Source organism: Homo sapiens, chromosome 22 (assembly GCF_000001405.40).
Source record: "Homo sapiens chromosome 22, GRCh38.p14 Primary Assembly".
Taxonomy (NCBI): domain Eukaryota; kingdom Metazoa; phylum Chordata; class Mammalia; order Primates; family Hominidae; genus Homo; species Homo sapiens.
This window is the reverse complement of record NC_000022.11, coordinates 20,378,357-20,392,758: the sequence shown is the minus strand read 5'-3', so window position 1 is coordinate 20,392,758 and position 14,402 is coordinate 20,378,357.

Here is a 14,402-nt window from a genome sequence, read left to right as displayed (position 1 = left end):
CTTGCCGAGAGGTGTGGAGGGAGAGGCGCGGGCGGGAACCGGGACTGCGCGCAGCGCTTGCGGGCCAGCACGAGTTCCGGGTGGGCGTGGGCTCAGCGGGCCCCGCACTCGGAGCTGCCAGCCGGACCCGGGCAGTGAGGGGCTTAGCACCTGGGCCAGCAGCTGCTGTGCTCGACTTCTCGCCGGGCCTTCGTTGCCTCCCCGCGGGGCAGGGCTCGGGACCTGCAGCCCGCCATGCCTGAGCCTACCCACCGCCGTGGGCTCCTGCGCGGCCCAAGCCTCCCCGACAAGCGCCGCCCCCTGCTCCACGGCGCCCAGTCCCATCGACCACCCAAGGGCTGAGGAGTGCGGGCGCACGGCGCGGGACTGGAAGGCAGCTCCACCTGCGGCCCCGGTGCGGGATCCACTGGGTGAAGCCAGCTGGGCTTCTGAGTCTGGTGGGGACTTGGAGAACCTTTATGTCTAGCTAAGGGATTGTAAATACACCAGTGGGCACTCTGTGTCTAGCTTAAGGTTTGTAAACACACCAATCAGCACCCTGTGTCTAGCTCAGGGTTTGTGAATGCATCAATCGACACTGTATCTAGCTACTCTGCTGGGGACTTGGAGAACCTTTATGTCTAGCTAAGGGGTTGAAAATACACCAATCGGCACTCTGTATCTAGCTCAAGGTTTGTAAACACACCAATCAGCACTCTGTGTCTAGCTCAGGGTTTGTGAATGCATCAATCAACACTGTATCTAGCTACTCTGGTGGGGACTTGGAGAACCTTTATGTCTAGCTAAGGGATTGTAAATACACCAATTGGCACTCTGTATCTAGCCCAAGGTTTGTAAATGCACCAATCAGCACTCTGTGTCTAGCTCAGGGTTTGTGAATGCACCAGTGGACACTCTGTATCTAGCTAATCTAGTGGGGACGTGGAGAACTTTTGTGTCTAGCTCTTTGGGTCCACGCTGCCTTTATGAGCTGTTAACACTGCGAAGGTCTGTAGCTTCACTTCTGAAGCTAGCGAGACCACGAACGCACCAGAAGGAAGAAACTCCGCGCACGCTGCGTTTAAGAACTGTGACACTCACCACGAGGGTCTGTGGCTTCATTCTTGAAGTCAGTGAAACCAAGAACCCACCAATTCTGGACACACCAGGACAAGAGCCTTGGTGGGGTATAGAACTGTTGATTACACAGTGCATGAGTCTATGTGTAAGTTTGTGTATGTGTTTGTTTCTCTGTGTATCTTACAGGTGTAGGTGTGGGTCCGCTTTTGCCTCACATTTCTTATGTGTTTCTGTCCTGGTGTGCCTCTGTGAAACAATGTGTACGTGCACCTGTGCACAGGTGACTCTATGAGTGTGTATGTGGGCACTGTCTCAACAGTTCTGGAGTCTGGATACGTGTTTGTGTGCAGGCTTGTGTACATGGGACAGGAACCTGTACATGGGAGTGGAACTTGTGTGCACGGTGTGCTTGCTGATGAGTCTAATGTGATTATCTGTTGGCATCTGGCTGTTGACTAACAGGTCAGGTCTGAGTCTTTCTTTTTTTGTTTTTGAGATGGAGTCGCGCTCTGTTGTCCAGGCTGGAGTGCAGTGGCGCAATCTCAGCTCACTGCAATCTCTGCCTTCTGAGTAGCTGGGACTACAGGTGCCCGCCATCACACCCGGCTAATTTTTTTGTAATTTTAGTAGAGATGGGGTTTCACCATGTTAGCCAGGATGGTCTCAATCTCTTGACCTCGTGATCCACCCGCCTCGACCTCCCAAAGTGCTAGGATTACAGGCCTGAGCCACCATGCCTGGCTGGGTCTGAGTCTTTCTGTATAAGTGCACATGTGTATGTGTGTGTGTGCCTCACTGTTTACACAGATCTGAATGTATGACTGGCATATCTGTGCATGTAACTCTGCAGTTCATCTCTGTAGATTGTGGATGTATCATCTATGTCTGCTTGCCTGAGTGTGTTCTGTGTGATAGTGAGTAGATGCCTTACGCCAGTGACTATGGACGGCGTCTTGTTCAGGTGAATTTGTAGACCTGTGTGTGTGTGTGGTTCTCTCAAAGTTCTAGTTTGTTGTGAGATGGTATGCACCTCTTTTCATTTGTGGGGCTGTAGACCTCGCAGGTCCAGTTGTGGCTGTGTGTGTGCCTGCATGTGTTCTTCTGTATGCCACTCTGTGTTGACTTCCAGGGCTCATCAGTGTCAGTACGTGCATCCTTGTGTACATGTGTATGTCACTGTGGGCCTCATGGATCCCCTGTGTCTGTAGGAAAGCCAGTGTGAGCCCAGGGATTCTATATTGAGTGCTCTGTCACCTGTGTCTCTGCAAAGGCTGTAGGGACAGGGATGTGTTCAGCCTGAAGGGAAGAGTGGAAGGGAGGATGCTGTTACTGCTTTCTGCTCACTATAGACTTCTGAGGATGGGAAAGGCATTTACCGCAAGACAATTTAGCCTAAGATTCTCACTTACATAAGAAGTCCCAGGTCATGTTCTTGTTCCTAAGTTCTCTGATTCCTCAATTCTCGAGGGTTGACTAGCAGGGCTGTGTGAAGGCCCAGTGAAATAATGGATATATATGCCCTTTTTTTTTTTTCCTGAGATGGAGTCTCACTCTGTTGCCCAGGCTGGAGTGCAGTGGTACCATCTCGGCTCACTGCAATCTCCGTCTCCCGGGTTCAAGCAATTCTCCTGCCTCAGCCTCCCTAGTAGCTGGAACTACAGGCACCTGCCACCACGCCTGGCTAATTTTTGTATTTTTGGTAGAGATGGGTTTCACTATGTTGGCCAAGCTGGTCTCGAACTCCTGACTTCAGGTGATCTGCCTACCTTGGCCTCCCAAAGTGCTGGGATTACAGGCATGAACCACCATGCCTGGCCTAAAGGCTTTTAAAATTCACTTATATAAGCTGACTTAGTTTTCTTTAACTTTGTAGAAAAATACAAAAATGGCAATCTCTTTTATCACACAAATGTCTTTTTAATAGAGTTTTTTTCTAATTGATGTATTATGTATTTTTCATTCACTAATTATTAATTGCTTACATTTGAAGTGTTTGATGAATTAATATTTAATTGCATAGATGAAGATGACTAGTCATAGGCATTTTACTAACCAATACTCATTGGATTCATGTGATGTTGCAGGCCGAAAGAGGGAGGGTCATGATCAACTCGGTGTACCACTGGAGGTTATATGAGTAAACAGTAAACTGTTCTCATGAATGCAGAATGTTGGCAAACTGCGTCTGCCACCCAGAGGGAATGCTGAGGGCAGTCATGCCCCAGGCGCGGCGTTTCTTGAGATTAGGCACATCTGAAACCTGTTAGCAATAATGTGAACCTGTGATCAATTGAGAAGCTGACCAATCATTACCTCCTGCTCCCTGCTCTTTCTACTCAATAAATATGAAGGGCTGTAGAAGCTCAGGGCTGCTGCCCTTGCTCACTAGAAGCTGGGAGCCCTCTTCTTCTTCCCTGGACCCTTCTTTAAACAGCTCCTTTTTTCCTTGGTTTTCATTTCTTCATTCGTCCTCCTTCGTTCAGTCCCGCAGTAACTGCGGCAAACCATGGGGACTGCCACAATGTGATGTCAGGGAGCTTTTTTATTGGTAAAAGGGAAAAGATACCACAAGAATGAATGCAAGAACTGAAACAGTGGAGACACCTAGAATGACTTGTCTAAGATTTAAATCATTTTGTTGTCTTCCCAGCGTACTTATTATCCTGATCATTGTCATCAGCATTGTTTGGGTCCTTTTAGCACAGATTTCTCAAAATGGGTAACTCCATAACAGTTGGAAGCTTACGAATTCATATAATTTGTAAGACGGCAATTTGGGAGTACCTATCTATTTTAAAATTCCAATAACCTGGGAATTTCATCCCATGTCTAGAGTCTTTTATGTAAAATATTTCCACAATTAGGAGAAATATGTGCATGGGGATTTTCTATGTAGCAGTGTTTTGATAGAATAGAAAGTTGGGGCAAACCAAATTTCCATCATGAAGGAAATAGTAATACACTGAATAATAACACAGTGAATATTATGCAGGCTTTAAACATCAAAAATGAGCTCAACTTCTGACTTCCGATGATCACATTGAAGTAGGTCACTGCTGGTTTACATTTGATTTTCATATGGGAACTCCAGGTGTCTGCCTTAGTGATTTTACATGTGGCTAAATTTAGCTAATGAAAAGCTATTCAAAGTATGGCAAAATGAAACTTTAAAACAGCATCTTGTCAACAACCAAGTGGACTTGTTTCACATAAAACCCTCACATTCATCTGCCTGTCCATCATTCTGTCTGTCCACACAGGCATCATTTGTGGCTTCATCTACATCTGGGGGCATCATCCACAGCTGGGGGCTTCATCCATGTCTGGGGGCATCATCCACAGCTGGGAGCTTCATCCACAGCTGGTTTGCCTGATCTGTATCTGAGTCACAGATACAGATTATTAAACCTAGTAATTTTATTGAGTTCCACTTTAATAGTTTTTGTTTCAAAAGTTGTTTGTTGATAATTTAATGAAATAAACTAAACCAGAATTACCCCCTTTTAATTATTTCCTTGTGTCAATATAGAAAGAGTGAAGTTAAGGAAACACTGAGATGCCCCTGTCCATGTTTGTGAATGGGAGTGTTGGGTCTAAAGCCTTTCTCTGGTAGGTCTCCAGAAGATTGCCCTGCCTTACGCTTGCCGTCTGTGGGTTCCAGAGGCTTCCATTTGAAAGGAGCCTCTCTCCCCACTCTGCCTCAACCCACACCAGCTCTCCCGTAACCCACTGACTTTGTAAACGCTTTCTTCCACCTGCACCTCATTGAATTCAATACTTTGGAAAATAGTCAAAAATTCTAAAAAGGTGGGAGTGAGTGTGATCTGGAAATCCCTGCTGTAATATTTTTAAGGGACTCTGCTGGAAACTATTAGTTTATGTTTTAAATAAAACCATCCCTTAGCACTAGAATATCAAGCCATTCATTTTTTAACAGAACTTTGAGATATAATTCAAATACAATAAATTTCACCCACACACAGTGTACACACAATTCAATGGTTTCTAATATATTCACAGAGGTCTGCAAAAATTACCACAGTTTAATTTTAGACAATATCATTTACTGAGATCCTTACATGCATATAGATGTAGATATATATAATTTTAATATCATCTTGAATATTGTAGTATTTAATATTGTACTATATCTATTTGTGTCTTTATATTGCTTTTTATTTTGTTATTCTGAATGACGATCTCCATGTACCTTTATATAGGTTTAAAATACACCTTTTACAACTGAAGAAATTAAATTGTTTCTAGTAAATCACATAAGAAACACATATGCTATTGTTATAAAAATTCAAATACTGCTTAGGTCTGTAGAATGAAATGTGTCACCGCCAGCTCCCAGCCCACTCAGTCGTCTACATCCACTTACACACAGATAGACATGCCCATGTTTTTACATAACGTAATCCTGCTTTGTGTGTTGTTCCCTAACTGGCTTTTCCATATAAAATAGAATGTGGTGATCATTGCTTATGAGTGCATATAGGTCTCTCTCATTCTTATTTATAGTTGCATCATTATTCAACAGGGTATCTGACCATAATTTGGTCACTTTTTCACTGTGGAATTTTTATGTTGGATTCAGTTATTTGTTACCGTTACCTACACTATCCTGGGCATACCTGTATATTCATCTTTTTGGTACCTTAGTTAGGTGGGTTTTTTCTTTTATGATTGATTTCTAAAAATAAAATACTGAGGCAAAGTATAAATTTTTAATATTATTATTATTTTTTTGAGACAGAGTCTCGTTCTGTTGCCCAGGCTGGAGTGCAGTGGTGTGATCTTGGCTCACTGCAAGCTCAGCCTCCCAGGTTCATGCCATTCTCCTGCCTTAGCCTCTCAAGTAGCTGGGACTACAGGTGCCCACCACCACACCCAGCTAATTTTGTTTTTGTATTTTTACAAATAACACGGGGTTTCACCATGTTAGCCAGGATGGTCTCGATCTCCTGACCTCATGATCTGCCTGCCTTGGCCTCCCACAGTGCTGGGATTGCAGGCGTGAGCCACTGCACCTGGCCATATTTTGATAAAAAATTAAAAATCTGTGTTTCAAAAAAATTTAATGATATTATACTCCCACCATCAGTATATGAGAGTTCCTATTTCCACACACCCTTAGTTACAGAGGAAATGACCAATGCTAACCTTGGCCAATTTTATGATTAAGAAATATTTCCATTTTTAATTTGGATTTCTCCACTTATTAGAGAGATTGTGCATTTTTGCATATGTTTACTGGCCAATTGTATTTCTCGCTGAGAATTTCATTATGATTTACTAGTTTTCTAATTCATGTAATGATATTCTTTATATATTCTGCACATTTATTAATTCCATATAATTAGCAAGTTTGTTTCTTAAGGTCTGTATCATAACTTTTATTTTGTTTATATTATCTTTGTTTTGAAGAAACTTTCATTTTTACATAGTCAAATTGTTGAACATTTTCCCTGCCATTTCTGGATTTTGTGACTTGCTTTCAATAGTATGTCCTTTTAGGGCTTTATTGATTTGTTTTGTTTAAAGAACGTGCTCAAATCTTACATTATTTAGTAATTTTCTTTCTCCCATTAGAGTACATGGACATTACTAATTCCAGCTAATGTAGATCAAATGTATCATTTGAATTTCTGTGTAGTAATGCGCATTGTAGATAAGTTCTGATTTCTTTATTCCCTATTAGATGGATATTAAGGTTGTTTTTAAAAATTCCCACCACTGATGACTACAATAATCATCAATATACATGGATCCCACTGATGTTTTTGTTTTATATTTCTTCTTTTCTGTAGTATAGGATTCTCAAAGTGGTGTAACTGACCTATGATACATTTTAATTATAATTTTAATTATACTGGCAGATTATTTTCCAAAAAGTTGATCAATTCACACTCTTATCAACTACATAAGTAAGCCTCTTCCTATGTAGGCTAAATAACACTAAAAGATTTTTTTAAATAAAAATGCTAATTTGGCTGGAGAAAAATCCCATAGGTGCTTTAATTAATCAATTTTTTTCTGTTTCAATTAGTTGTCTATTCATAGCCTCTGTGTATGTGTGTGTGTGTATTTCTATTTGGCAGTTTATGGTTGGAAAGACTCCTAAAAAAGGAAATCTAAAAAACACACAAAATACTAAAATATATTTGATGAATAAGAATTAAATTTCTGCATATCCAAAAAATTGCTAAAAATATTAAAACTGTAGTCAAAATAGCAGCTCATGAAACAAAGCAAACAAAAATACTAAACAAAAGAAACAGACCAGGAGCAGTGGCTCACGCCTGTAATCCCAGCACTTTGGGAGGCCAAGGCAGGAGGACTGCTTGAGTCCAGGAGTTCGAGACCAACCTAGGCAACACAGCAAGAACCCATGTCTACAAAACAATTAAAAATTAGCCGGGCATGCTGATGCATGCCTGTAGCCCTAGCTTTTCAGGAGACTCAGGTGGGAGGATCACTTGAGCTCAAGAGATCAATGAAGCCATGTTAATGCCACTGCACTGCAGCGTGGATGACAGAGTGAGATGCTGTCTCAAAAAAAAAGGAAAAGAATACTCTAGCTCCACTTCCCCACCACAGAAATCTAACTGGCAACTATCCACAGATGGGAATACCCTCAAGAATATATATCCCAGAACACAGAAGGAATGTTGCCCAGGCTGGACGGAGTGCAGTGGAGTGATCTCGGCTCACTACAACCTCTGCCTCCTGGGTTCATGCGATTGTCCTGCCTTAGCCTCCCGAGTAGCTGAGATTACAGGTGCCTGCCACCACACCCGGCTAATTTTTTGTATTTTTATTAGAGATGGGGTTTCACCATGTTGGCCAGGCTGGTCTTGAACTCCTGACCTCAGGTGATCCACCTGCCTTGGCCTCCCAAAGTGCGGGATTACAGGCGTGAGCCACCGTGCCCAGCTGACTGTCTATTGACTTTTGACAAAGGCACAAAGAACACGCCAAGGGGTAAGAACACTCTATTCAATAAATGGTGCTGGGAAAAGTGGCTATTCATATGCAGAAAATAAAATTAGACCCTTATCTTACACCATGCCCCAAAATCAACCCAAAATGGATCAAAGACTTTAACATTATGCCGGAAACTGTAAAATTACTATAAGAAAACACAGAGGAAAAGCTCCATGACACTGATCTGGGCAATGATTTTTTGGGTATGTCCCCAAAAGCACAGGCAATAAAAGCAAAAATAGAAACAGGATGGCATCAAACTGAAAAGCTTCTGCACAGCAAAAGGAACAAGTAACAAAGAGATAACCCACGTCGTGAGAAAAAATATCTGCTAACCATACATTAGAAAAGGGGCTAATATCCAAAATATATGAGGAACTCAATCAACTCAACAGCAAAAGAACCAATAAGCCAATGTAAGAATGAATAAAGGAACCAAACACATTTTTCAAAAGTAGACATACAAACAGCCAATAGGTTCATGAAAAAATGCTACCTCAAAGGCAGGTCCTGGGACCAGTAACATCAGTATTATCTGGGAGTTTGTTCAAAAGGCAAAATATCAGGCCCCACTGCAGACCCACTTACCTGGAAGCTGCATTTGACAAGATTCCCAGGTGATCCACATGCACGTTAAAGTTTGAGATGCTTACTATAGACAGCAAGTACTTCTTCAGTTGAAGAAGCTCTGGGGCCTGGAGCTGACCAGTGGCAACCTAAATCTTTAGGAAAATGCAAATTAAAACCACCGTGACATAACATCTCCCTCTCATCAGAACAAGTTTTATGAAAAAGATGGAAGGTAAGTTTTGGCCAGGATGTGGAGAAAGGGGAATCCTAGTATACTGCCGGTGTGTAGTACAGCCGCGATGGAAAATGGCATGGAGGTTCCTCAAAACACTAAACATAGAACTATCATGTGAGCCAGCAATCCCACTTCTGGGAATATATCCAAGGGAATTGAAATCAGTGTGTTCAGGGATGTCTGCACTCCCATGTTCACTGCGGCCCCATTTACAGTAGCCAAGATGTGGAATCTGCCTAAGTCAATCAGCCTAAGATGAATGCGTACAGAAAAGGCGGTGCACGCATACAACGAAGTACTATTCAGCCTTAAAAAGAACAAAACTCAGCCGGGAGCAGTGGCTCATGCCTGTAATCCCAGCACTTTGGGAGGCCCAGGTGGGCAGATCACCTGAGGTCGGCAGTTCAAGACCAGCCTGACCAACATGGTGAAGCCCCATCTCTATTAAAAAAAAATACAAAATTAGCCAGGTGTGGTGGCACATTCCTGTAATTCCAGCTACTTGGGAGGCTGAAGCAGGAGAATCACTTGAACCCGGGAGGTGGAGGTTGTGGTGAGCCGAGATCATGCCATTACACTCTAGCCTGGGCAACAAGAATGAAACTCCATCTCCAAAAAAATAAAAAAGAACAAAACTCTGTCATTGGGAATGACACGAATAAATCTAGAGGACATACTGCTAAGTGAAATACAAATACCACAGAAAGACAAATACCACATAATCTCACATGCCCGTGGAATCTTTTAAAAGTTGAATTTGGGAGCTACCCACTCGGGTCCCCTTCCACACTGTGGGAGCTTTGTTCTTTCGCTCTTCGCAATAAATCTTGCTGCTGCTCACTCATAAAAAAAAAAAAAAAGTTGAATTTGGGCCAGGCGCCCTGGCTCATGCTGGTAATCCCAGCATTTTGGGAAGCTGAGGCAGGTGGATCACTTGAGGTCAGCAGTTTGAGACCAGCCTGGCGAACATGGTGAAACCCTGTCTCTACTAAAAATACAAACATTAGCTGGGCATGGTGGCAGGCGCCTGTAATCCCAGCTACTTGGGAGGCTGAGGCAGGAGAATCGCTTAAACCTGGGAGACGGAGGTTGCAGTGAGCTGAGATTGTGCCACTGCACTCCAGCCTGGGTGACAGAGTGAGACATCTCAAAAAAAAAAAAAAAAAGTTGAATTCATTCAGTAGAAGAATAATGGTTACCAGAGCTGGCGAGGTGGCAGAACAAGGGAATGGAGACTTCCTCTTCAAAAGGTACAAAGTTTCAGCCAAGCAGGAGAAAAAAGTTTTGAGGTCTATTGCACAGCAGGAGACTATAGTCAATAATAATGAATATTTCAAAATAACTAAGGAAATTTTTTTTTTTTTGAGACGGAGTCTCTGTCTTTCAGGCTGGAGTGCAGTGGTGTGATCTCGGCTCACTGCAAGCTCTGCCTCCTGGGTTCATGCCATTCTCCTGCCTCAGCCTCCCAAGTAGCTGGGACTACAGGCGCCTGCCACCACGCCCAGCTAATTTTTTGTATTTTTAGTAGAGGCGGGGTCTCACTGTGTTAGCCAGGATGGTGTCGATCTCCTGATCTCATGATCCCCCCGCCTCGGCCTCCCAAAGTGCTGGGATTACAGGTGTGAGCCACTGTGCCCGGTCTAAGAGAGAAAATTTCTAGTGCATCAACTTAAAAGAATGCCAAGTAAGTGAGGTAACAGGTATGTTCATTAGCTTGACTTAATCTTTTCATATTGTATTGTTAAGTTAAATTTGGTCTAAAACTGCCTCCACAATTCATATTAGCGCCAAACTGGAAAGTCCAGCCACAGAAGAGTAGATGAGCAAATTATGGTACTGAGTAGAACGGAATACTACTCAGCAATAGAAAACAATGCAGTAACACCAAGGAACCTCAAAAACATTAGCTACAAGAGAGTACATACTGCATGACTCCCTCTATATGAGATTCTAGAAAAGGCAAAACTAGTCTACAGTGACAGAGGGCAGATCAGGGGTTGCCTGGGGCTGGGTGGGGAAACTGCCAGCAAAGGGCCACAGGGATTTCCAGGTTATGGGAATGTTCTGTATCATGATTGAGGAAGTGGTCATGAGGGTACACACATTTCTGAAAATTCATCCAGCTGGACACTTAAAATGGGCGTATTTTCTTGAATGTAAATTTTTCTCCGTAAAGTTGATTTTATTTAATTAATTAATTTATTTATTTATTTATTTTTGAGTTGGAGTCTCACTCTATCACCCAGGCTGGAGTGCAATCGTGCAATCTCAGCTCACTGCAACCTCTGCCTCCTGGGTTCAAGTGATTCTCCTGCCTCAGCTTCCTGAGTAGCTGGAATTTCAGGTGTGCATCACCGTGACCAGCTAATCTTCATATATTTTAGTAGGCACAGAGTTTTGCCAAGTTGGCCATGCTGGTCTTGAACTTCTGACCTCAAGTGATCCACCCGCCTCGGCCTCCCAAAGTGCAGGGATTACAGATATGAGCCACCATGCCCAGCCTATAATGTTGATTTTAAAACAAGAGAAATCAACATCACCAACAAATAAATTAATTAATTAATTAAAATAAAATAAAGCTGCCTCCATATATAGCACACTGTAATCTAACTTAATAGATGTGAAAGGACAATAAATCTTGGGGCCCCAAGAAGCTAAAGGGAAAAGTCAAGCTGGGAACTGCTTTGGGCAAACCTGCCTCCCATTCTATTGAAAGTCTCCCCTCTGCTCACTGAGATAAATGCATATCTGATTGCCTCCTTTGGAGAGGCTCATCAGAAACTCAAAAGAATGCAACCATTTGTCTCTTATCTATCTAAGACTTGGAAGCCCCCTCCCCACCTCGAGTTGTCCCACCTTTGCTTCGAGCTGTCCTGCCTTTCTGGACCGAACCAATGTTCATCTTACATATGTTGATTGATGTCTCATGTCTCCTTAAAATGTATAAAACCAAACTGTGCTCTGACCACCTTGGGCACATGTCAGGACCTCCTGAGGCTGTGTTATGGGTGCATGTCACCAACCTTGGCAAATAAACCTTCTAAATTAACTGAGACCTGTCTCAGCTATTGGGGGTTCACATAGGTAAACAAAACAAACTGCAACCTAACCTGAGAATATGCCCTTGGAATAAGTAGCCCAGTCTCAGCCAATCACAGCAGCTGAGCTCTCAGCCCTTCACAGGCTGCAAGCTGCCAAAAACATGTTCAAACAAGGCAACTGCAGAGCTGTAACCAACAGGCTATTTCTCAATGAAACTTACGTTTTCTGGCTATAAATATTCCCTGCCCACCTGTGGAGCAGAGATCTCTGAACCACTTTTGGTTCTCAGTGCTACCTGGTTCATGAATCTTTTTTCTGTTCAACTAAACTCTGTCAAATTTAGTCAAAGGCTTTTCTCTTTAACAGTATACATACATCACACATCACATTGTACTATATAAATGTAATTCAATTGTCATTTATAAATTTAAAATAGTATATTTTTTTGAGACAGAGTCTCGCTCTGTCACCCAGGCTGGAGTGCAGTGGCATCATCATAGCTCCCTGTAACCTCAAACTTCTGGGCTCAAGCAATCCTCTCACCTCAGCCTCCTAAGTAGCTGGGACTGCAAGTGCATGCCATCATGCCCAGCTAATTTTTTTTTTAATTACTGTAGAGATGGGGGTCTCACTATGTTGCCCAGGCTGGTCTCAAACTCCTGGTCTCAGTGGATCCTCTTGTGTGATCCTCCCACCTCAACCTCTGAAAGAACTGGGATTACAGGTGTGAGCCACCACGCTTGGCCCAAAAATAATACATAATTTGTTTTAAAACACTAGATGATTTTTTTTCAACTTTTATTTTAGAATCGGGGGTACCATGCAGGTTAGTTACAAAGGTATACTGTGTGATACTGAGGCATGGGGTATGCTGGAACCCATCAAGGGGATATTTTGGTTGTCAACTACCTGAAAAAAGTATCTTTTCAAATCAACAGCTGCAGCACTATTTTAAAAAATGGAAATGTAACAATAAGGGTTAAATAAATTTTGACAAATTTATAAAATGGAATACTATGGTGACATTAAAACCATTTTAGACTGTTTAATCAAGATAGAGAAAACTACAATATTTTACTGAATAAAAAAAGAAATTATAGAGAAATCTTTTTTGGGTTTTTTGAGACAGGGTCTCACTCTGTCACCCAGGCTGGAGTGCAGTGGCACAATCTAGGCTCACTGCAGACTCCTCCTCCGTTCAAGTGATCCTCTGGTCTCAGCCTCCCAAGTAGCTGGGACTACAGGCAAGTGCCACCATATCCACCACCTAATTTTTTACTTTTTGTAAAGATGGGGTCTCACTGTGTTGCCTAGGCTGGTCTGGAACTCCTGGGCTCAAGCAATATGCCTGCCTCAGCCTCCCAAAGTGCTAGAATTACAGGCATGAGCCACCACACCAGCCAAGAAATCATATTGTATGAACCCAGCTTTATAAAACATAAACTACTCACACATACTGGTGGTGGAGGGGGAAAGAACTGAGAGGAAATATACCAAAAATGGCATTAAAGGGTAACTCTCAGAGGGATTACAAATCATTTTTACCTTTTTTTCTTCATATGTCTCTTACTTTCCAAATTTCCTGTAATTAATTAATATGCAATTTTAAAATAAGCAATAATTCATTTAGAGAATAGATTTAACATCTATATTCTCTAATTACTTTTGTTGGCAGTAGTGTTCCTATTCCAAGTTCAAAAACATGAATAAATTAGGGATAAAAAGAAGTGTTCAAATATTTTTTCTTAATTCTTTTTTTTTTTTTTTTGAGATGGAGTTTTGTTCTTTTCACCCAGTCTGGACTGCAATGGCATGATCTTGGTTCACCACAACCTCTGCCTCCTGGGTTCAAGCTATTCTCCTGCCTCAGCCTCCCAAGTAGTTGGGATTACAGGCATGCACCACCACACTCAGCTTATCTTGTATTTTTAGTAGAGACAGGGTTTCTCCATGTTGGTCAGGTTGGTCTTGAACTCCCGGCCTCAGGTGATCTGCCCACCTCGGCCTCCCAAAGTGTTGGGAATACATACCCTAGGCCATGTGCTTTCCTATGCGTCACCTCCATCCATCCTCAATAGCTCTGTGGCTTCGGCATTGCTACACCCATTGTGCATTTTTATGCGGGAAGTGGGGATTTGAAGTCATTTTTTTCTCCCAAGAAAACCCATGCTCTTGTCATGACCCCACATCAGACAGACTTGGGTTCAGATTCTGACTGTGACACTCATTAGCTGTGCGACCTTGGGCACATCTTTTAACTTCTCTGAAGCTCAGCTACTTGTACTAAAACAGGGGTAATGACAGAAAAATGAGGTTATTAAGAGAATTGGAGAGTACACCTCTGGGGCTTTTTGATTGTAAACAACAGCAATATACTCTAGGGCTAACTTTGGAGAAGGATGAAAGGCATTTATTAGAAGCATATGAATTAGCTCATATAACTAAATGCAAAGCAAACAGCCAGGTCTTGGAAAGGATGAGAGCCAGGCCAGCTGAAGAGATCTGG